General features: G+C 40.1%; 1 protein-coding gene across 13 annotated transcripts in view, besides 1 other annotated feature; it reads right to left on the bottom strand.

Annotated features, from left to right (window-relative positions):
- MINDY2 (MINDY lysine 48 deubiquitinase 2) overlaps positions 1-24,556 on the bottom strand; it is a 90,599-nt gene that overhangs the window by 9,156 nt on the left and 56,887 nt on the right. For 8 of the 13 annotated variants that reach the window (XM_011521687.3, XM_011521688.3, XM_011521689.3 and 5 more), the window contains 3 exons: positions 20,829-20,971; positions 5,275-5,448; positions 780-974 (listed from right to left, as the gene is read on the bottom strand). In XM_011521687.3, coding sequence (XP_011519989.1) covers positions 780-974; positions 5,275-5,448; positions 20,829-20,971 — 512 coding nt within the window. Of the gene's footprint in view, positions 1-779; positions 975-5,274; positions 5,449-20,828; positions 20,972-24,556 lie in introns of those variants that run through there. The other 5 variants (XM_017022332.3, XM_047432700.1, XM_017022333.3 and 2 more) reach the window with 2 other exon arrangements.
- Positions 18,418-19,185: an enhancer, noted in NCBI's record as "OCT4-NANOG-H3K27ac-H3K4me1 hESC enhancer chr15:59125759-59126526 (GRCh37/hg19 assembly coordinates)". NCBI's record gives its function as "activates a minimal SCP1, AML or CMV promoter by ChIP-STARR-seq in naive H9 embryonic stem cells {active_cell/tissue: H9 hESC(naive)}" and the evidence as "EXISTENCE:reporter gene assay evidence [ECO:0000049][PMID:30033119]".

The raw sequence follows: 24,556 nt of genomic DNA, 5'->3' as shown, positions 1-24,556 counted from the left end.
AATTGGGGTAAGTGCTAATATTATTTGTTCTTCACAACAAACTTAAGAGTTCTTCTATTTTACAGATAGGGAAAATGAGGCTAAGAGAGGTAGAGGACGTCATCCAAGAGGTTGCAACTAGAAGGAGAGACAGGAGCAGGAAATGCAAATCCACATTTATCTGGCTCCAAAGTCTATTTTTTCTAGTAGTACCTCATACTGCCCTCTAGTTGATTGAAAGGACTTCGTCCAAATTGGCTTATTTTCTTTGCAGCTATTACGAATTTTAAAAATAAATTTGAAAATCAGAACCTCAGGAGAAAACATTTTACTAAACGAGATACAAGCTTAGGACAACGTCATAAAACCCATAGGTGCTAAAATCCTAACAAAATTGAAGAGTTAACACCTAATTTAAAATTTTTTATCTCAAGCGAAATTTACTGCTAAAGTGATCATCTTTTTTTTTTTTTTTTTTGAGAAGGAGTCTTGCTCTATCATCCTGACTGGAGTGTAGTGGCACAATCTCAGCTCGCTGCAACCTCTGCCTCCCAGGTTCAAGCAATTCTCCTGCCTCAGCCTCCCAGTAGCTGGGATTACAAGTGTTCACCACCACCACGCCCGGCTAATTTTGTATTTTTAATAGAGATAGGGTTTTGCCATGTTGGCCAGGCTGGTCTCGAACTCCTGGGCTCAAGCAATCTGCCTGCCTCAGCCTCCCAAAGGGCTGGGAATACAGGTGTGAGCCACTACACCCAGCCATGATCATCACATTTAAGACTCAAAACACTAGTTTTTACCTGAGCCTGTGTAGAAGCAGCAGCAGCAGCAGCTGCTGCTTGTTCCTGTTCCTGATAGTATTGAGAAGCCCGTCTGTCCTCTTCCTCTTGGAGTTTCTTTGCTAGTTCCAAATCACTGATTCCTTCCGGGATTTGTTCCCAATTGATCTCTTGGCTCTGCTGTTCTTGTTGTAGAGATAATGCCATAAGATAATCCTAATAAATTAAATTATAACCATCATTAGCTATGAGATTTTACCCAAGAATGAATGACTGCAAATACAAACGTTATATCTATAAAGCTGTAAGAATGGCTATTAAAAAATACACCAGGCCTGGGCAATATAGCAAGACCCTGTCTCTACAAAAAAAGTTTAAAAACCAGCCAGGTGTGGTGGTGTGCACCTATAGTCCTAGCTACTTGGGAGGCTGAGGCAGGAGGATTGCTTCAGCCCAGGAGTTTGAGGTTACAGTGAGTTATGATCTCCTCACTGCACCCCAGCATGGGTGACAGAGAGAGACCCTGTCTATAAATATGAATAAAATAAAAACAAAAAAGAAAAAGAAAACAATATAAAATAACAAAATAATTAAAATAAAATAAAAAACATTTTATTTTAAACATTAAAATGACAGTTATCTTCCTAAGTATTTCCCTTGGGGAGCTATGAACTTATTTCAGTGATTCTGTCATTGTTCTAAATATTTTTGGAGGCCAGGTGCGGTGGCTCACGCCTATAATCCCAGCACTTTGGGAGGCCAAGGCAGGTGGATCGCTTGAGCCCAGGAGTTCGAGACCACCCTGGCCAACATGGTACAACCCCGTCTCTATTAAAAACACAAAAATTAGCCAGGTGTGGTGGTGCACACCTGTAATTCTAACTACTTGGGAAGCTAAGGCAGGAAAATCACTTGAACCTGGGAGGCAGAGGTTGCAGTGAGCTGAGATCACGCCACTGCGCTCCAGCCTGGGCGACAGAGGAAGACTCAGTCGTGAAAAAAAAACAAAAAATTGGGGGAATGTATTTGAAATTTTTTCTGGAAGCCATATATAGGCAGCCAAGAAAGCTAAAAACAAAACCAAACAAAAAGTAGCGGGGAGCCAGGTACAACGGCACACACCTATATTCCCTGAACTTTGGGAGGCTGAGGCAGGCAGGCTGCTTGAGCCCAGGAGTTTGAGACCAGCCTGAGCAACATGGCAAAACTCTGTTTCTGCAAAAAACACAAAAAAATTAGCTGGGCATGGTGATGCATGCCCATGGTCCCAGCTACTAGGGGAGGCTGAGGTGGGAGGATCACTTGAGGCCAGAAAGTTGAGGCTGCAGTGAGCTGTGATCACACCATTGCACTGTAGCCTAGGTGACTGAGACCCTGTTTCATATATAAATAAATAAGTAAATTGGTTTAAAGAATTTTTTAAAAAGTTCCCCATTTACAAAAGAAACATGCCTATAGGCAATTCAGACAAAACTGAAAACCATAAACAACAAAGTTTAAATCACCATAATATCATTACATAGAGATAACTACTGTTAACAGTAGTTTATTATTATTTTTCTACATTCCCATACAAATTCAAACCAACCCTGTGAAACTACTGTAATGTTTTCTTTTCCACTTAGTGTCATAAAAGTCTTCTGTTTAAGAAAATAAGAATTTCCCAAGATTATTAAATATTCTTCTAAAAGATGACTTTTAAAGCCAACACAGTAGCCATCATATAGTCTTACTCAATTATTTAACCATCTCCTCCCTCCTCCCATGTACACACTCAGATTAGTTTCTATCAGAAACAGTGCATTTTGGTCAAGCATTAACTTAATATCCACTTTATTAAGAGTCGGTGTTGACTAAAATTTGACCAGTCTGTGTACCTCCTCCCCCATCTACCCTCAAAATAAGATAATTTTAAATAATACAGAGGATGGGTAAATGGTTTTTGCCTGTGGTCAGGTGCAGTGGCTCACGCCTGTAATCCCAGCACTTTAGGGGGCCAAGGCGGGCACATCACTTGAGCCCAGGAGTTCGAGACCAGTGTGGGTAACATGGCGAAACCCTGCCTCCACTAAAAATACAAAAATTAGCCGGGTGTGGTGGCACATGCCTGTAGTCCCAGCTACTCAGGAGGCTGAGGTGTTTGCTTGAGCCTGGGAGGTGGAGGTTGCAGTGAGCCGAGATCGCACCACTGTACTCTAGCCTTGGTGACAGAGTGAGACCCTGTCTCAAAAAATAAAAAAGGTTGTTGCCTGGAAAGATCTTGTCATATATATAGCATGACTATCTCATGGATATAAAGATATAAAGAATTTGTCCTTCAAGTTCTTCTGAATTCTTCAAACTCTGCTCTTTATGAAGCCTCATGGTCTTGAATCCACCTCTTTCTTGCTGCTTCCAGATAACAATCTCAACACCTTATCTGGACTACTGTGACAATCTATCACTCTGCCTTCATTCCCCTTCTCCAGTTTTTTTCTTTTTTGAGACGGAGTCTTGCTCTGTCGTCCAGGCTGGAGTGCAGTGGCGTCATCTTGGCTCACTGCAACCTCTGCCTCCTGGGTTCAAGCAGTTCTCCTGCCTCAGTCTCCCGAGTAGCTGAGACTACAGGTGCGTGCCACCATGCCCGGCTAATTTTTTGCATTTTTCTAATTAAAGACGGGGTTTCACCATGTTAGCCAGGATGGTCTTGATCTCCCGACCTCGTGATCGGCCCGCCTTGGCCTCCCAAAGTGCTGCGACTATAGGTGTGAGCCACCGTGCCCAGCCTTTTTTTTTTTGAGACAGACTCTTGCTCTGTCACCCATGTTGGAGTGCAATGGCATGATCTTGGCTCACTGCAACTTCCGCCCCCTGGGTTCAAGTGATTCTCTCACCTCAGCCTCCCGAGTAGTTGGGGTTACAGGTGCGCACCACCACACCTGGCTAATCTTTGTATGTTTAGTAGAGACAGGGTTTCGCCATGTTGGCCAGGCTGGTCTTGAACTCCTGACCTCAGGTGATCCACCTGCCTCAGCCTCTCAAAGTGCTGGGATTATAGGTGTGAGCCACCTTGCCTGGCCCAGTATTTTTTATATAGAATATAATGCTTAGAAAAATCTCGCATATTTCTCTTAACGTTTAAAAAACAACACCCCTGTATAGCTTCTGAAGGAAAATGAGCACGACTTTCAGAACTGTTTTTCAAAGAAAAGTCCTAGAAAGATGCATATTTGTTTGAATTAAATATTCTTTTTTTTGTTTTGAGATGGAGTCTCGCTCTGTTGCCCAGGCTGGAGTGCAGTGGCACGATCTCGGCTCGCTGCAAGCTCTGCCTCCTTGGTTCATGCCATTCTCCTGCCTCAGCCTCCTGAGTAGCTGCGACTACAGGCGCCCGCCACCATGCCCGGATAATTGATTTTTATATTTTTAGTAGAGACGGGGTTTCACCGTGTTAGCCAGGATGGTCTCGATCTCCTGACCTTGTGATCTACCCGCCTCGGCCTCCCAAAGTGCTGGGATTACAGGTGTGAGCCACCGCACCCGGAGAATTAAATATTCTTTTGTGTACTTGATAACTGCTCTTCAAATTGCCATTATAGAACATATAACATGAGTTGGTCAAATATCTGCCTTCCCTACTAGGCTGCATCTTTAAGGACAGGACTCAATGATTTATCTTTGTATCTCTAGGACCTAATTATAGTGCCAGGAATACAACTCCTCAGTGAATATTGGCTAACTGAACAGTCTTTGTGCACTTAAATTGTTATGAGTGAAATATATGTCAACTGTTTAACATGACCATATTTTTGCCTCAGTCAGGGAAGAATTCACATCACCATCATATTTCTAATAATAAACAGACCTGTGGCTCCAAGACTGCCCACTTATGGCAGGCAAAAATCTCATCTGTCAAAAAAAAAAAAAAAATCTCATCTGTCTCATTTCTAAATGCAACTTCTATTCCCTAGTGTGTCTCCTGCTACAAATGTCTACTACTCCTCCTTACCTTGGCCTCTAAGGTTTAGAATATCCACCCATTCTTTATACACTATATGCTACCTTCCAGATTCTCTCTCCTCTACTTTTTCTAACTAGTCAAAATATAGCTCAGATATGTGCTCATCTCTTCATCTCTACCACCCAAGGCTAAGCCATCATCAGCTCTTGCTTGGACTATTTGTCTCTGCTTAGACCTGTTTCCTTCTTATGTATTCTCCAAATAACAGTCTTTTAAAAAGGTAAAGAAGATCCCATCACTTCTGTGTTTAATACTTGACATAGCTTTCCTACTGCAATTAGAATAAAATTCAAACTTCTCACCATGACCTTCACAGTTCAATATGATCTGGCCTTCTGCACCAAAGTACATAATTAATGTACATGTAGAATGATCACCAACTATTCAGGAAGTGTCAGGAAAATTTCACAAGCATATTGATGAATTAATCTTTAGTTGAAAAATTTTGGATACATGAATTCACATTTGAAAAAAATCAGCATTTTAACCACTATAAAGACGACAATACAAATTTACCTGATCTATCTGATCTTGTTGTCCTTTGTATACAGTTTCAGGATCTGAAGGAGGTCGAAGATGAAATTCTGAGTCACAGAAATTTCCATCACCATCTACGTTGTGTAGGCTTTCCCAAACAACTTTCTCTTCAGTAAGAAACCCCTGGTCCGTTACCAACAAATACAGTTGACCCTTAATAAGAAGTAACAAAAGAAAAAGGACTGTTAAATTGATCAAAACTAGTAATATAATATTTAAGGAAAGTTTTACAATCTGTATCTTCAGAATATATTAAACATTCCTACTGTTTAGATCTGTACAACACAATAAATAGACCAAGTAGATATTTTACTTCCTCAAATCCACTCGGCTTTGAATATAGTTTATAATTGGCACACTACACTATAACAAGAAATAAGAGCTCTTGGCATGTTCAGCTAATGTATGACTTATAAACACCTTTGGGGGGGTTTATAATCTCATTTCACAAAATAGAAAAATACCATACAAATTCCTGAAAAATACATTACAGTCACAAAAAATGATACCATGTTGCCTGTTTTTTTTTCCAATTAAGCCTACATGACTAGTCCAATCCACACCAGTTTTTCCTTTCTCTACACCATTAGTTGCTCTTCTTTTATACACCAATAATACTTTGTACCTAGTTTGTATTATCAGTGTACTTCTTTTGTATACCAATAATAGATACAACACAATTGTTTTGTACGTGTTTCGTAGCACCAAATTGCCCAGTATTGATTGTATTTTCCTGCCTTATCACATAAACTCTGTACGTGCATACAAATTTTTTTTTAATTTTTAATTTTTGTGGATACATAGTACGTGTATGTATTTGTGGGTTACATGAGATTTTTTTTTTTTTTTTTTTTGAGGAGTCTCACTTTGTCATCCAGGCTCAGGCTGGAGTGCAGTGGTGCCACCTCAGCTCACTGCAACCTCCGCCTCCTGGGTTCAAGCGATTCTCCTGCCTCAGCCTCCTGAGTAGCTGGGACTACAGGCGTGTGCCATCATGCCCAGCTAATTTTTTGTATTTTTAGTAGAGACAGAGTTTCACCGTGTTAGCCAGGATGGTCTCGATCTCCTGACCTCGTGATCCACCCGCCTCAGCCTCCCAAAGTGCTGGGATTACAGGCGTGAGCCACCGCGCCTGGCCTACATGGTATTTTGATACAGGCATGCAATGCATAATAATCACATGAGGGTAAATGTGGTATCCAGCCTCTCAAACATTTACTGTTTGTGTTACAAACAATCCAATTATACTTTTAGTTATTTTAAAATGTACAATTAAATTATTTTTGACTATACTCACACTCTTGTGTTAGCAAATGCTAGGTCTCAATCATTCTGTTTTTTCTTTTTTTTTTTTTTTAACATCCATTAACCATCCATCCTGCCTGCCTCCAAATATGCATCCCAGCCTCTGGTAACCATCATTCTACTCTCTATCTCCAGGAGCTCAATTGTTTTAATTTCTAGCCCGCAAAAATAAGAAAGAACATGCGAAGTGTGTCTTTCTGTGCCTGGCTTATCTCACTTAACATTATGACCTCCAGTTCCATCCATGTTGTTGCATTTGACAGGATGTCATTCTGTTTTGTGTGTGAATAGTGCTCCGTTGTGTATGTGTACCACATTTTCTTTATCCACTTGTCTGTCAATGGACACAGCTTGATTCCACATCTTGGCTATTGCGAATAGTGCTGCAATAAACCTGGGAGTGCAGATATCTCTTTGATATACTGATTTCCTTTCTTTTGAGTATATTCTTAGGAGTGGGATTGCCGGATTGTATAACAGCTCTACTTTTAGTGTCTTGAGGAACCTCTAAACTGTTCTCCATAGTGGTTGTACTCATTTATATTCCCATCAACAGTGTATAAGGGTTCCCTTTTCTCCATATCCTCACCAACATTTGTTATTGTCTGTCTTTTGGAAAAAAGACATTTTAACTGGGGTGAGATGATATCTCATAGTTTTGATTTGCATTTCTCAGATGACCAGTGATGTTCAGCACCTTTTCACATACCTGTCTGCCATTTGTTTATCTTTTTTCTTTAAGATGGAGTCTCATTCTGTTGCCCAGGCTGGAGTTCAGTGGTGTGACCTTGGCTCACTGCAACCTCCATCTACCAGGTCCAAGTGATTCTCCTGTCTCAGGCTCCTGAGTAGCTGGGATTACAGATACCCACCATCACACCTGGCTAATTTTTGTATTTTTAGTAGAGATGGGGTTTTACCATGTTGGCCAGGCTGGTCTCGAATTCCTGACCTCAAGTGATCTGCCCACCTGGGCCTCCCAAAGTGCTGGGATTACAGGTGTGAGCCACCACACCTGGCCTCATTTGCATGACTTCTTTGGAGAAATGTCTACTGAAATCATTTTCCCGTTTTAAATTTGATTATGAGATTTTTTTTTTTCTAGAGAGCTGTTTGAGCTCCTTATATGTTCTGGTTATTAATCCCTTGTCACATAGGTAGTTTGCAAATGTTTTCTCCCATTTTGTGGGTTGTCCTTTCATTTTTTTTTTTTTTTTTTTTTTTTAGGCAGGGTCTCAGTCTCACTCTGTCGCCCAGGCTGGAGTGCAGTGGTGTGATCTTGGCTCACTGCAGCCTCAGCCTCTTGGGTTCAAGCGACTGTCCTGCCTCAGCCCCAAGTAGCTGCAACTATAGGAGCACACCACCACGCCTGGCTAATTTTTGTATTTTTAGTAGAGATGGAGTTTCACCATGTTGGCCAGGCTGGTCTCGAACTCCTGACCTCAGATGATCCACCGCCTCAGCTTCCCAAAGTGCTGGGATTACAGGTATGAGCCACCGCGCCTGGCCTGACGTTTATTTTTTTAAAAAAACTATAACTGGTTCACTGTCAACAATGCAGATTTTTTTTTTTTTTTTTTTTTTTGAGACGGAGTCTCGCTCTGTCGCCCAGGCTGGAGTACTGGAGTGCAGTGGCACAATCTTGGCTCACTGCAACCTCCGCCTCCTGGGTTCACCCCATTCTCCCGCCTCAGCCTCCCAAGTAGCTGGGACTACAGGCGCCCGCCACCATGCCCGGCTAATTTTTTTTTTGTATTTTTTAGTAGAGACGGGGTTTCACCGTGTTAGCCAGGATGGTCTCAATCTCCTGACCTTGTGATCCACCCGCCTCGGCCTCCCAAAGTGCTGGGATTACAGGCGTGAGCCACCGTGCCCGGCCAACAATGGAGATTATTAGTCCACAGTTCCTTTATGTAAGTATAGCATAGAATAGCAAAATATCTATGACTATAGTACTAGTTTAGGCCCATCTGATCCTGAGAGTCTATGGTTAAATCACTATCAAGAATATTTCTTGCACTGATATTCCAGCACTTTTGCTAGATTATGCAGTCAATGCTTTCTTAAGACTCAAATCTTCCTTCTAATTTCATCAGTTTTTAAAATACTGAAAAATTTCATAAATAATAATATAGAATAGGTTTTAATGCATTAAATTCTTAATTGTGTATTAGTTCAAATTATATAAATGTCAATATTGTCACAATTTGTAAATTTATAAAATATTATTAAATTTGACAAGTTTTCTTCTACTTTATCAATTTACAAATTGTGATGATATTGTCAGGATTTTTTTTTTTTTTTTTTTTTTTGAGACAGAGTCTCACTCTGTTGCCCAGGCTGGAGTGCAGTGGCGTGACTTGGCTCACTGCAAACTCCGCCTCCCAGGTTCACGCCATTCTCCTGCCTCAGCCTCCTGAGTAGCTGGGACTACAGGTGCCCACCACCACGCCCGGCTAATTTTTGTATTTTTAGTAGCGAGGGGGTTTCACTGTGTTGGTCAGGCTGGTCTCGAACTCCACTGTCAGGTATGTTGTTAATACAAGTAACTACTCCATGTAGAATTAATTTACGAGGGTATTTCTGGACAGAATAGGTTTTCATTCCGTGTTCTTTTGTGATCCAATATGGAGGAAAGCACTGGCTAAATATTTTTGGTTAACTAGCTCGGATTCAAATTACTTAACATCTCTAGGTCGGGTGTGGTGGCTCACGCCTGTAATCCTAGCACTTTGGGAGGCTGAGGTGGACATATCACTTGAGGTCAGGAGTTTCAGACCTGCCTGGCCAATATGGTGAAACCCCGTCTCTACTAAAAATACAAAAAGTTAGCCAGGTGTAGTGGTACATGCCTGTAGTCTCAGCTACTCAGGAGGCTGAGGCAGAAGAATCGCTTGAACCCAAGAGATAGAGGATCCAGTGAGCCAAGATTGTGCCACTGTACTCCAGCTTGGGCGACAGAGCGAGACTCTGTCTCAAAACAAAACACCAACACACCTAAACACAAATTACTTAACATCTCTAGACTTTAGTTTTTTCTTCTTAGAAATTTTGAAGTTTCTAAGGTACTTTATAATTTGAAAATTTATACATTTCTAAGAGAGTTTCTAAAGTATTTTAAGTATCAAAAATGAAATTACTACTCCTACTTAACAAATGTAGTCTTATCCAAAAAAGCACTTTCTTATCCACCCAGAGAGGCAGTGAAGCATAGTTGTTGACTTGAAAGTCAAGTTGAAAGTGGACTTGAAAGTCACACTGGAAATGCTGATAAGCTAAATGGTCTTGGGCAAGTTACTTAGGGTCTTTACATGTTCCCTCAGCCATTAAGTGAGAATAATAATATCCACTCCTCACAGAGGAGTTGTGAAGATTAAATGAGATAATCCATATAAAATGCTTAATATAGTACAAAGCCTCTAACTGCTTCATAAACAGAAGATATTATATTCATGAGTATCATCTAAATCGATCTCAATTTCTGTGTCTATCTGCTTCTATCTCCTATTTAAGAGAAAAAGATGAATCTCTCTGCTTGTACTATGGAATCATCACTTTCCTTATTCCAGTTTCCAAATTCTGCCCCCTCCCCTTTTAATTTAAAAAGTGACAATTTTTGATATATCAACCAGCTTTAAAAATAGCTAAACTTAATGGATTGTTACTTAAATGTAGCATTCTGTGAAAAAAATTTCCACTATGGCCTTAGTCAAAGAGGAAATAGAATAAACAAATTTATTTCTTTAACATGGTTTTAGTATTTATCCAGAACTGTACCTCCTTCTAAACTACTTTTCACTTCTAATCCCTAAACATAGAGTAAAAAAGCAAACAGAACCAACCTCATACCATCTGACTGAGTTTATGGTAAAAAAGAAATAACAACAACAAAACAACCAACCTCAAAAACGTTGGGACTGAATATACTTCAGAGATGTCAGTAATTTAAAACCAAGAGATAGGGGAAACAGTTATGACATGAATATAAAGGTTGCTATGGTAAAAGGACAATCAAGAAGTCATAATAGGAAAAGAGCTATGCAGATATCATTATATGAACCAAAGATCTAGAAGCTATGTGATCTAGACAGGGGCTATGTAATCTTAGTTAAGAGCAAGCAGAAGTTATCAGAGGGTGGTGAAGGAGGGCCATAAAAATGAAATGCAACAACTAGATCTAGGATATAGAATTAGGTAAGGATAGGAATCCAACAGTCATGATCATATGTATAATATGAGAAGCAAAACTGACTTAAATGAGTCTGTTTCTAGGACAGAAATGGTTTATTTACAACCCATCTTTACACTTTCAAATTTCCTGCATGGATAAATAGTCATCTCACTATCTATAGTGACCCACAGGAAAGCATTTGCTCTCTTATGGTCTCCTCACTCTGCTCACAGAAATCAATCTAGTTATGCTGTTGAAAAGCACAGATCAGCCGGGCGCGGTGGCTCACGCCTGTAATCCCAGCACTCTGGGAGGCCGAGGCAGGTGGATCACCTGAGGTCAGGAGTTCGAGACCAGCCTGACGAACATGGTGAAACTGTGTCTCTACTAAAAGTACAAAATTAGCCAAGCATGGTGGTATGCACCTGTAATCCCAGCTACTTGGGGGGCTAAGGCAGGAAAATTGCTTGAACCTGGGAGGCAGAGGTTGCAATGAGCCAAGATCACACCATTGCACTCCAGGAAGGGCAACAAGAGTGAAACTCTGTCTCAAAAAAAAAAAAAAAGAAAAGAAAGGAAAAGCGTATTATCTTCATAGAATCATAAACCTTCCAAAGTGTTGGGATTATAGCCGTAAGCCACTGTATCTGGCCCCCAAAATTGAAATTATTTATAAGAAAATCATGAAGTTGGCTCAGTGCAGTGGCTCATGCCTGTAATCCCAGCACTTTGGGAGGCTGAGGTGGGTGGATCACTTGAGGTCAGGAGTTCAACACCAGCCTGGTCAACATGGTGAAACTCTGTCTCTACTAAAAATACAAAAAATTAGCTGGACATGGTGGTGCGCGCCTATAATCCCAGCTACTCAGGAGTCTGAGGCATGAGAATCTCTTGAACCCGGGAGGCAGAGGTTGCAGTGAGCCAAGATCATGCCACTGCACTCTAGCCTGGGTGACAGAATGAAAGTGTCTCACACACCAAAAAAAATTAAAAAAAAAAAAAAATTGGCCAGGCGCAGTGGCTTACACCTGTAATTCCAGCACTTTGGGAGGCCGAGTCAGGCAGATCACGAGGTCAGGAGATCGAGACCATCCTGGCTAACACGGTGAAAACCCATCTCTACTAAAAATACAAAAAAAAAAAAAAAAAATTAGCTGGGCATGGTGGCGGGGGCCTGTAGTCCCAGCTACTCGGGAGGCTGAGGCAGGAGAATGGCATGAACCTGGGAGGCGGAGCTTGCACTGAGCCGAGATCACACCACTGCACTCCAGCCTGGGTGACAGAGAAAGACTCCATCTCAAAATAATAATAATAATAATAATAATAATAATAATAATAATAATAAGTAAATAAATAGTGAGGTCAATGTGTATTTCACAAAGAGGATCCGCCCAGTTTAATTGTAGAAGACCAGGTGGATGTACAAGGAAAGAAGTGATATAAATGATAGCAGAAATTAGGGCTATTCCTATTTGTTGCCAATAGATAGATGAGGAATAAAAAGTTTAATGAAGGGTTCATGGAGGATGTTATTACAAGTAATAACTAACAGAGATGGATTTTAGTTTGCTAATAATGAAAGAAACACAGAGGTATTTTTCCAGAATTTAGCAACAGTAAACCACAAAACTAGGAATGATAAGAGGACTTTCCAACAACAGGAAGTCAATTAATATCTGTGGTCAGGGAAAATGTCCTGTGCAATAAAAATCATTGTTTGTACTATATTCGTTCGGAAGTGTGGTAGATATTATTCACAAAAAATGGATCAGTTTGATTACACATCCATTGTGACCTCATGATGGCAGAAGGCTTAAAAAAGTATGTAAAGATAAAATCGAGGCCAAACGCGTGGCTCACGCCTGTAATCCTAGCACTTTGGGAGGCAGAGGCGGGCAGACTGCCTGAGGTCAGGAGTTCGAGACTAGGCTGGGCAATATGACAAAACCCCGTCTCTACTAAAAATACAAAAAATTAGCTGAGCGTGGTGGCACACACCCATAATCCCAGCTACCTGGGAGGCTGAGGCACGAGAATTGCTTGAACCTGGGAGGTGGAGGTTGCAGTGAGCTGAGATTGCTCCACTGCACTCCAGCCTGGGTGACAGAGTGAGACTCTGTCCCAAAAAGAAAAAAAAAAAAAAAGATAAAATCAGCTGTGGTAAAAATAAATAAATAGATAAAGATGAAATCATGAAGTTAATAAACAGAGAATACTTTGTCCAGGTGCAGGTTTTAGAAACAGCTATATACTTTTCAATGGTTTGCTGTACTGAAACACCACCTAGTGGTCCTTTAAACACCACTTTGGTGTATAGAGGATCACCAAAAAGCCTAACCCTAGGCTGGGTGCAATGGCTCAAACCTGTAATCTCAGCACTTTGGGAGGCCAAGGTGGGTGGATCATCTGAGGTCAACAGTTTGAGACCAGCCTGGCCAACATGGTGAAACCACATTCCTACGAAAAATACAAAAATTAGCTGGATGTGGTGGCAGGCACCTGTAATCCCAGCTACTCCGGGGGCTGAGGCAGGAGAATCACTTGAACCGGGGAGGTGGAGGTTGCAGTGAGCCAAGATTGTGCCACTGCACTCCAGCCTGGACAACAGAATGAGACTTCATCTCAAAAAAACAAACAAACAAACAAACAAAAAAACAGTCTAACTTAACAGAGAATTTGCTCCTGCTTCTATACAATATCTAGAGATGGGAGTTAGAATAGAGATGTAAACAATACCATTAATAACTAGAAAGCATATATACCTCCCTTCCCCTCTTGTCAAAGCCCACAGCTCAAACATCTCTAGAATTCCAAAAGACTCTGGATGACAAAAGATTTTAACGCACACTCAAAAAAAAATTAAATAAATAAATAAATATTTAAAAAAACTTTTCATATATAGGGTTTAGTAAATTCCTATAGAAATTGGTACAACCAGTAAAGAAACTGGAGGTGACCCTTCCTAGGTAATCATTTTTGTCCTGCCATCATGGACTTTCCCCTGTTGGCCTAGGTCTTGAGATGATAATGATATAATATAATCATGAATACTTAGAAGCATAAAGATCCTCTGAAAAGTCGTAATAAAAATTAGGCCGGGCTCAGTGGCTCACACCTGTAATCTCAGTTCTTTGGGAGGTCAAGGTGGGCAGATCACTTGATGTCAGGGATTTGAGACCAGTCTGGACAACATGGTGCAACCAATCTCTACTAAAAAAAATAAGCCAGGAGTGGTGGTACCCGCCTGTAATCCCAACTACTTGGGAGGCTGAGGCAGGACAATCGCTTGAACCTGAGAGGTGGAGGTTGTGGTGAGCTGAGATTGTGCCACCGCACTCCAGTCTGGGCAACAGAGTGAGACTCCATCTCAAAAAAAAAAAAAAAAAAAAAATCCCTAAAAAGTAGCCCCACTAACAAAATAATAGAAGTATAGATATTTATGTCTGATTGCCTGTTTATTACAGACTGGCAATTTATTATTATAAGCCCCTAGTTGTAAACACCACTGAAGTGGAAAAGTATTCTATCTAGATGTTAAATTTTGTTTGCTGAAAGTATATCTTTTTTGTTTTTTTTGAGATGGAGTCTCGCTCTGTCACCCAGGCTGGAGTGCAGTGGCATGATCTTGGCTCACTACAACCTCCGCCTCCTGGATTCAAGCGATTCTCCTGTCTCAGCCTTCTGAGTAGCTGGCATTACGGGCACACACCACCATGCCCAGCTAGTTTTTGTATTTTTAGTAGAGATGGGGTTTCACCATGTTGGCCAGGCTGGTCTCGAACTCCTGACCTTAAGTGATCCACCTGCCTTGGCCTCCTAAAGTGCTGGGATTACAGGCGTGAACCACCACACCACACCTGGCCTGAAAGTATATCTTGAATTCTGTGGGATGAAATGTATTTATGCGATAGATGTTCCAAAGAGAAAGAGTTCACAGGAGTAGAAAGATGGAAAACACTGTGACGATTAAATATAATTTTTCCTTTTTTTTTTTTTTTTTTTTTTGAAAGAAGGTCTTACTCTGTCATCCAGGTTGGAGTGCAGTGGCATGATCACAGTTAACTGTAGCTTCGATCTCCTGGACTCAAATTATCCTCCCATCTCAGCCTCCCAAAGAGCTGGGACTATGGGCACACACCACCATGCCTGGCTAATTTTTTTAAAGTTTTTTGTACAGACAAGGTCTTACTTCATTGTCCATGCTGGTCTCTAACTACTGGGCTCAAGTGATCTTCCCACCTCTGCCTCTCAAAGTACTGCAATTACATGTGTAAGCCTGGCTGGTCATTAAATATGAATGCATAAGATGTCCCTCAAAATCAGGGTTTCTCAAAAGTGAAATGCTAGAAGGCAGTAGGAAGATATGGAAGATGTAATGTAGATTTAAAAATAGCCATAGTTTGTTTAAAAAAGGTTTCCTTTTTTTTTTTTTTTGGTGCCATCATGGCTCACTGTAGCCTCACCCTCCTGGGCTCAGGGCTCAAGTGATCCTCCCACCTCAGCCACCCTAGTAACTGGGACTATAGGTGCGTACCACCACACTGGCTAACTTTCAAAATTATTTGTTGAGATGGGGTCTTCCTATGTTGTCCAGGCTGGCTTTGAACTCTGGGCCTCAAGCGACTGTCCAGCCTTGGCCTCCCAAAGTGCTAGGATTACACACATGAGCCACCATGCCCAGCCTCTATTTTTAAAAATTATTATTTGTGTCCTTATTAAATCACACATTCTCTGGGGCTCAAGTTTATAAAGTGCTACAAACAACTCAGGAATTAGTAGGAGAGAATAATAATCTTAATGATGAACAGCCTTAATAGAACAAAGGCACAATCCTCTCTCTGCCTTATTCCCTTATTAAGCAAATGGACACCATGCTGGAAGAACCCCTTCCCTAAATTTTATTTAGCATTCATTTAGTATTTTAAAAGTATTCCTTTAGGGGTTCTATTCTACACCAACAGCCAAAGTGTTATAGATTCTGTTGTAAATCAGGTAATCTGTCACTGGGTCAGTGAAGAAGACGTGCTTTTGACCCTTATAAAGAATGCACTCATGTCTGGGTGTAGTGGTTCACACCTGTAATCCCAACACTCTGGGAGGTTGAGTTGGGCAGACTGCTTGAGCCCAGGAGCTCAAGACCAATTTGGGCAACACAGGGATATCCTGTCTCTAAAAAAAAAATTTTAAATTGGCCAGGTGTGATCGTGTACACCTGTAGTCCCAGTTGCTTGGGAGGCTGAGCCATGAGGATCGCTTGAACCCAGGAGGCAGAGGTTGCAGTGATCTGAGATTGCAGCAGCGCACTCAAGCCTGGGTGACAGAGCAAGACCCTGTTTCAGGGAAAAAAATAAAAAATAAAAAAAGCACTCACTGGGTACTCTGTCAGAAGTAAAGCAGTGTCTTATCTAAAGACTCAGGATTGGAAAGCTGGTACAATAGGAATATAGGAAATAGAACCAAGAATTGTAATGGGGCATAAATAATCATCCAAATGCCCATAGGATCCCTGAAGAACACAAGATTTGGATCATATCAAAATGGAGTTACTCTATCAAATGCAATGCATGGTCTTTGATTAGATCCTGGTTTGAACAAACCATCCATAGAACTATTCTGGGGACAAGTGGCAAATTTGAATATGGACTAGATTATTAGATACTGAGAATGATAGTAGCCACTGCACTCCATCCTGGGTGATGGAGTGAGACCCCACCCTGTCTCAAAAAAAAAAAAAAAGAATTATAGTTAATTTTGAGATGCAATAGGCCGGGTGCGGTCGCTCACGCCTGTAATCCCAGCACTTTGGGAGGCCGAGGCAGGCAGATCACGAGATCAGGAGATTGAGACCATCCTGGCTAACACAGCGAAACCCTGTCTCTACTAAAAATACAAAAAAATTAGCTGGGTGTGGTGGCGGGCGCCTGTAGTCCCAGCTACTCTGGAGGCTGAGGCAGGAGAATGGCATGAACCCGGGAGGCGGAGCTTGCAGCGAGCCGAGATTGTGCCATTGCACTCCAGCCTGGGTGACAGCAAGACCCCATCTCAAAAACAAAACAAAACAAAACAAAACAAAAAACCCAAGACTTTACAAGATCTAGTGCCTGGCTATCTATTTGGCCTTTCTTCATTCCTTTTACTTGCTATGTTTCAGGGACACTGACTTTCTTTTAATTCCTCAGGAGTCAAGCTGTTTCCTTCCTCAGGGCCTTTGCATACATGTTCTATCTGCTAAGTTAACTCTTTTTTGGCCAACTGATTAAACTAGAAGATTCACTTTTTAGGTATCATTTTATTTTTATTTAATGAATTAATTAATTACTGAGACAGAGTTTCGCTCTTGTCGCTTAGGCTGGAGTGCAATGGCACATTCTCAGTTCACTGCAACCTCCACCTCCCAGGTTCTGGCGATTCTCCTGCCTCAGCCTCCCAAGTAGCTGGAATTACAGGCACCCACCACCATGCCCAGCTAATTTTTGTATTTTTAGTAAAGACGGGGTTTCACCATGTTGGCCAGGCTGGTCTCAAACTCCTGACCTCAAGTGATTCACCCGCCTCGGCCTCCTAAAGTGCTGGGATTACAGGCGTGAGACACCGCACCCAGCCTCAGGTATCATTTTAAATGTGACCTTCTTAAATAAATCTTTCCTGACAATCCCTAAGTTATAAGTCCCAATAAAAGCAACTAACTTATAAATCCTGATAAAAACACTCACAGCTTGTGATATGTATCCTTAACAAACTGTATCTCAATAGAAATAAATTAATAATTATTTGTGTAATTATTTAATATCTGCCCCTTGTCAAACTACGAGGTCCTTAATAGGCAAAAACCATAGCTTCCTTGCTCATGGCTGTATTCCTACTACTAGTGAGCACCCAGACATGATACATGCTCAATAAATATTTGTTAAATAAATGAATAAATCCTAGACTTGAGAGGTCAGGTTAAGTAAGAAATAAAATGATTTAGCAGTATTCACCATGTATCAATAAATCTGATCCTTATGTCCTTTGGCCTTAGATTTCTGAGGAGTATGGATGACTCTGGGCCCACATCTGACATACATCTAGCTAAAATGTTGAAGTTATACAAATGAGCTGTTGCTATAACTAAGATAGGAATGGGAGAGCAACGGCTTTAAGGGTATTCTTACATAAGCAAACAAGTCATTATTTTATACTACTTTGTGTAATTCATTGACTAAAGTGTTGAAGAAAATATGAAGATGTAATTCACGACTTTAATAAGCCACTTTCATTTAGAAAAAAATGACATATTTACATGGAAAGAAAACTGGTAATTAGGTATTAACCAATAAGGGCTAAAAAAAGATGATGTAGCCAATAACAGCTAGATGATGGTTAGAGAATTGTACTCTGCCTTAGCTGCACATTAAAATAACCTGAAAAGCACTCAAAATTAATGATGCTCAGATCCCACCTCCGGAGATTCTCATTTAATGGAGTTGGTGGTAGGTTCTGAGGATTGGCAGTTTTAAAAAAGCCTCCCATACAGTTTTAGCATACAATTTGGGTTGAGAACCACTGGTTTGAGGAGAGTAGAAGTAGCTTTACTAAAGAGTTAGTATTTAAAAGCTTCTTAAAGGATGGGTAAAATTGGGACAGGCAAAAAGGAATGAGAAGACCTTTCCAAACAGGGATTAAGGAGTGAGATATTGTGGGGAAAAGAGAGAGAGATCAGATTGTTACTGTGTCTGTGCAGAAAGTAGACATAGGAGACTCCCATTTTGTTCTGTATTAAGAAAAATTCTTCTGCCTTGAGATGCTGTTAATCTGTAACCCTACCCCCAACCCTGTGCTCCCTGAAACGTGTGCTGTGTCAACTAAGGGTTAAATGGATTAAGGGCTGTGCAGGGTGTGCTTTGTTAAACAAATGCTTGAAGGCAGCATGCTAGTTAAGAGTCATCACCACTCCCTAATCTCAAGTACCCAGAGACACAAAACACTGCGGAAGGCTGCAGGGACCTCTGCCTAGGAAAGCCAGGTATTGTCCAAAGTTTCTCCCCATGTGATAGTCTGAAATATGGCCTCGTGGGAAGGGAAAGACCTGACCGTCCGGCAGCCCGACACCCATAAAGGGTCTGTGCTGAGGAAGATTAGTAAAAGAGGAAGGAACGCCTCTTTGCAGTTGAGATAAGAGGAAGGCTTCTGTCTCCTGCTTGTCCCTGAGCAATGGAATGTCTTGGTGTAAAGCCCGATTGTATACTCCATCTACTGAGACAGGGGAAAACCGCCTTAGGGCTGAAGATGGGACATGCTGGCAGCAATACTGCTCCTTAAGGCATTGCGATGTTTATGTATATGCACATCAACAGCACAGCACTTTTTTCTTTACCTTGTTTATGATGCAGAGACATTTGTTCACGTGTTTACCTTCTGACCTTCTCTGCACTATTATCCTATTATCCTGCCACACCCAATAATGATCAATAAATACTAAGGGAACTCAGAGGCCGGTGCCGGCGTGGATCCTCCGCATGCTGAACGCTGGTCCCCTGGGCCCCCTTTTTTCTTTCTCTATACTTTGTCTCTGTGTCTCTGTCTTTTCCAAGTCTCTTGTTCCACCTAATGAGAAACACCCACAGGTGTGGAGGGGCAACCCACTCCTTCAAGATATGGCAGTAAAGTGCAGAAATTAGAAGGTATAGTGTGTGTATGGGATGGAGAGTTATCAGTGAATAGACACCATTTTGGCTGAAGTAAAGTGTTGGCAAATAGAACATATCTTGTATTTTTATCCCCACGCATGAAGTGCTACTGAACATTTTCGGTATATTACTGATGGGATCAGAACAGTATTCTACTGTACTACTGAAGAAATCTATGTATAAGTTGACAAACTTCTGAACTAAGTGACAGCTGTAACAACAAAAAGAATGGCTATAAGAGATAAAAAGAGTAAAACAGTAAATGTTTTTGACAGAGCCATAAATGGCACTACAGGAAGAATTTAAAGCCACACATTATTAAAGAATTTAATGTTTGGTCACATTAAAGTCATTAAAGTTTAATAATAGCAAACAGTATCATAAAGGCAAATCATCTAAATAAATAAATAAATTTATTTCTTCTAAATTCCTTTAGCACTGAAATATAAACTTCCATGATTAGATGTCATCCTAGTTCTGGCCGCACACGGTGGCTCAAGCCTGTAATCCCAGCACTTTGGGAGGCTGAGGCGGGCTATCATCTGAGGTCGGGAGTTTGAGACCAGCCTGACCAACATGGAGAAACCCTGTCTCTACTAAAAACACAAAATTAGCCAGGTGTGGTGGCGCATACCTATAATCCCAGCTACTCGGGAGGCTGAGGCAGTAGAATTGCTTGAACCTGAGGCGGAGGTTGCGGTGAACTGAAATCACGCCATTGTACTCCAGCCTGGGCAACAAGAGTGAAACTCTGTCTCAAGAAAGAAAAAAAAAAAAGTCTGGGCATGGTGGCTCACGCCTGTAATCCCAGCACTTTGGGAGGCTGAGGCGGGCGATCACCTGAGGTCAGGAGTTTGACACCAGCCTGACCAACATGGAGAAACCCCATCTCTCCTAAAAATACACAAAAATTAGCCAGGCATGGTGGTGCATGCCTGTAATCCCAGCTACTCGGGAAGCTGAGGTAGGAGAAGCGCCTGAACCTGGGAGGCAGAGGTTGCAGTGAGCCGAGATCACGCCATTGCACTCCAGCCTGGGCAACAAGAGCGAAATTCCATTTCAAAAAAAAAAAAAAAGAAGTCATCCTAGTTCTATCTCTAGGGTTTATCTTTTTTTTCTCTCAGAAAGAAAATAATAAAATACTTCTTACTGCAAAGATCTGTGAAAAAGAAGTTGAGAATTAAAAAACAAAAAGTGATTTGAGGTAATGCTTCAATTGTTAATCCATCCCATCCTTAAGAAGTACTGTATTTAATAATTACCTTCATAATTTGATGGTTAAGAAATATTACGCTAAAATCTTTTATTTATAAGCAGATCAAAAGACAACTCTAAATCAAGCTCCTTTGATTTAGAATCACGATTAAATAGCTATTTCTATATCATACCTTGTATTTGGTCATGGTGCTAAAATGATTATTCCGAAAGAACACACAAAGTTCTCCTTCCTGAACCGTTGAAGTTAGTTCACATAATCCATGGTATGTCAGTTGAGTGGCTGTGTTATTTAGAAACTGCTCAGCTACAAAGCCTATAGAACCAATGCATAACATTAGATAGAAGAATAATTTCAAAATCAAAAAGTTATTCTTTTTCTATTTAAAGTGTGTTCCAAGTATGGAAAAAGGCCAATAATTATAATACTTTCCCTACTACTTTATGATGGCTCCAAACTGGACATTTGTGTTTTTAATTTTGCAATGAAATATGTGTATACAGACATTCCTATCCTAAATAGTTATGTGAAATTCTTTTTTATAAACAAATGCATTTACTTATACTTCACCTACTATTACAAAGGATTTCATGCAGGTTGCAGTAAAAAAGCAGACACAATAAAACTAAAAGCCATGAAAGCAAGTAAAAAGACAGGTGTCAGGCAATTTTAAAAATGGGTGGGAAAGAAAAATGTCAGTCAACAGCTACCTCCCAATAGCAAGGTGTTTTCAAATTAAAAGTAGCCCTAATAAATTGAGTAGCTTAAGATTTCACAAAAATCCTAGATAATTCTTAAGTTGTAAACTTCTCAATTCTTGCTTTAAAACTAAAAGTAGGCATAAGGCTGAACAGAAAGCCGTGGGATAAATGATGCCATTTTTAATGGTTTTTTATGCCATTTTTATGCTAATCTCCTCCAACATATGCCACTCATGTAGATGTATCAAGTTCGGAAATAGATATTATGGCTTTTGTTTTTGAAATACAATAAAATATACAGAAGTGATCCGGGGTATAATTTAAAACATATATATATATATATATACACACACACACACACACACACACACAACTGATCTTCATATACACAATCGATCCTCATTGCAAGTTCATATCTACAAGTTCATCTAACTGGCTAAAATTTATTTAGATCCCCCAAATCAATACTTGCAGCATTTTCATGCTTGTTTGTGGACATGTGAAGACTGGTGAAAATTCTGAGTGGCCCAATGTGCACATTCCCAGCTGAGGTCAAACAAGGCAACATTCTGCCTTCTTGCTTCAGCTCTCTCGCATACTGTAAACAAGTGTCCCTTTCATGGTCTATTTAGTGCCATGTTTTTCACATTTTTATGCTTTCTGTTGGTGATTTTGCTGTTTCAAACAGCATCCAAGCATAATGCCAAAGTGCTGGCTAGCATTCAGTAGACAAAGGCTGTGATGTGCCTTATAGAGAAAATACATGTGCTAGATAGGTTTCGTTCAGGCATGAGTTATACAGGTTGAGTATCACTTATCTAAAATGCTTGAGATCAGAAGGGTTTTGGGTGTGGATTCTTTTGGATTTTGGAATGTCTGCATTATACTGATCAGCTGAGCATCCCTAATCTGAAAATGAGAAATCTGAAATCCTCCAATGAGCATTTCCTGTGAGCGTCATGTTGGTGTTTAGATTTTGGAGCATTTTGGATTTTGGATTTTCAGATTAGGGATATTCTATCTGTAGTGCTGTTGGCTGTGAGTTTAACGCTAGTGAATCAACAGTATATATTAAATAAGGTGTGTTTAACAGAAACACACATAAAACAAGTTTATGTACTGATCAGCTGATGAAAATGTTACCAAATGCTCCTTAAAAACTCACTCATATTTATCCTAGGGACAGTGGTTCAGCATTCACTAATTCAGTGTTCACAGTAACTTTATAGAACATAGCTACCATGAATAATGAGAATCAACTGTATACATATTTTTTAAACTTGTATTTCTCTTCTTCTTTCCCTCCTTCCTTTTGGAGTAAGTAGAGATGTCTCGGAAGCAATGGGGGAGGAGGGAAGGGAATGCCCTAAAAAGTTTCATAAGTGATCTGAGAGATATAGATACAGGGACTAAAGATAAATCTGTGGTATGAAACTAACACTTCAACAATAAATTGAAAAGAAAACTTGGTAGTGCCAGAAGCAGATAACATAGGTTTATTCCACTCCCTCGACATCCCTTAGTGTCAAACCATAGTACTTCAAGCTACAAAGTGGTTGTAAAAACTTACCACACTATAATTATCACACTATTGCAAGGACTTTGTTATGATAGAAGTACAAAAACTATAAAGAGGTCTACAGCCAAAAGAAATTCATTGAATACTTGCAACTTCTTGGGTATGCCTGTGCTGAAAAGTACCACTGCCGTCTGTAATATCTGTATTACTAAATGTTCCCTTCAGAAAGATGTTTTTAAAAGCCCCTTCCATACCTTACTCACCCAATATCCTCTCCACAGATCCCTTTCAAAAAGACACAGAAATTCAGTGGAGATATAGCACATTACTTTCATGTTAGTGTGAAATCCAAAAATTCAACATTAGAAAGGTCTTTCTCAGCTACTTCTTTTTACAGAATAGGACATAGGCTCAGAGAGAATAAGTGACTTGCCCAAGGACATCAAACTAGTTATGGCAAAGGGAAGACAGTAACCTAGGAGAATTATTATGGATATTAAATTTTAAAATTTATTGCAGATGAGTATTATAAATGCCACTTGAATTATATCTCTCCCAAAACCATAAAGCATAGCTTATTAAGAACTAGAAAAAACAATGTTTCGTAATTCTCCTGTCATCTCTTAAACAGTGGTTTTAGTGGAAAAGGCTAACCTAGTTTTAAATTTTTATAATTAATTAGCCTTTATTGAAAAGCTCAATCTAGTTTCAACTTTTTACAACTATTTAAACAAATTTTGGAAAACAACTGTAAGTGTTACACAGCAGTTTATTTATTTGTAAACTTATCAGAGAATCATTATAACGCTCAAAGAGGTGTTATTGATTCAAATAATCCAGTTTATTACAACATTCACATTAAATCTCAATTTTATTGTTATTGTAATTGATGATACTAAAGGTAAAAAACTTAATGATAATAGAGTATTATTCATGAAAATAAATTTAAATTAAGCCTTATTTTCCTGAGAAGATTACTATATTTGAAAATATTTCTTACATTCAGAAATTTAAGACTGGGCGCAGTGGCTCATGCCTGTAATCCCAGCACTTTGGAAGGCGGGCGGATCATGAGGTCAGGAGATCGAGACCATCCTGACTTACCTGGTGAAACCCCGTCTCTACTAAAAATACAAAAAAATTAGCCAGGCATGGTGGCAGGCGCCTGTAGTCCCAGCTACCCGGGAGGCTGAGGCAGGAGAATGGCGTGAACTGGGAGGCGGAGCTTTCAGTGAGCCGAGATCGCACCACTGCACTCCAGCCTGGGTGACAAAAAAAAAAAAAAAAAAAAAAGAAATTCAATAATAAATTAGTTCATTAAACTGTTTTCCTCTGTTACTGGACAGTTATTAGAGAACATGAAAGTGATGAATGCCTTAAAGATGGTGAAGTTACAGAGGTACTATAATTAGTCAAAAAGGAATAGAAAGTAGAAATAGGAAGGAAGGAAACTTGATTTATTTTAAAATGTTGCCTAGATGTGGTCCTGTCTCAGATTTGTGTTCAAATTTAAGCTTAGTGAGAACTTAACTTGTCACTGTGACAGCTTTAAACAATCTAACTTTTAAGAATTTAATCTACATTTAAGTTTCAAAGATCAAATACATTAATGTATTTTTTCCTCAAAAGGATGGGCAAAACAATTTATTTTAATGACAAATGCCCAGATTTTACTTGAAA

Source organism: Homo sapiens, chromosome 15 (genome assembly GCF_000001405.40).
Source record: "Homo sapiens chromosome 15, GRCh38.p14 Primary Assembly".
Classification (NCBI taxonomy): Eukaryota; Metazoa; Chordata; class Mammalia; order Primates; family Hominidae; genus Homo; species Homo sapiens.
This window is presented reverse-complemented; position numbering and strand designations above follow the sequence as displayed.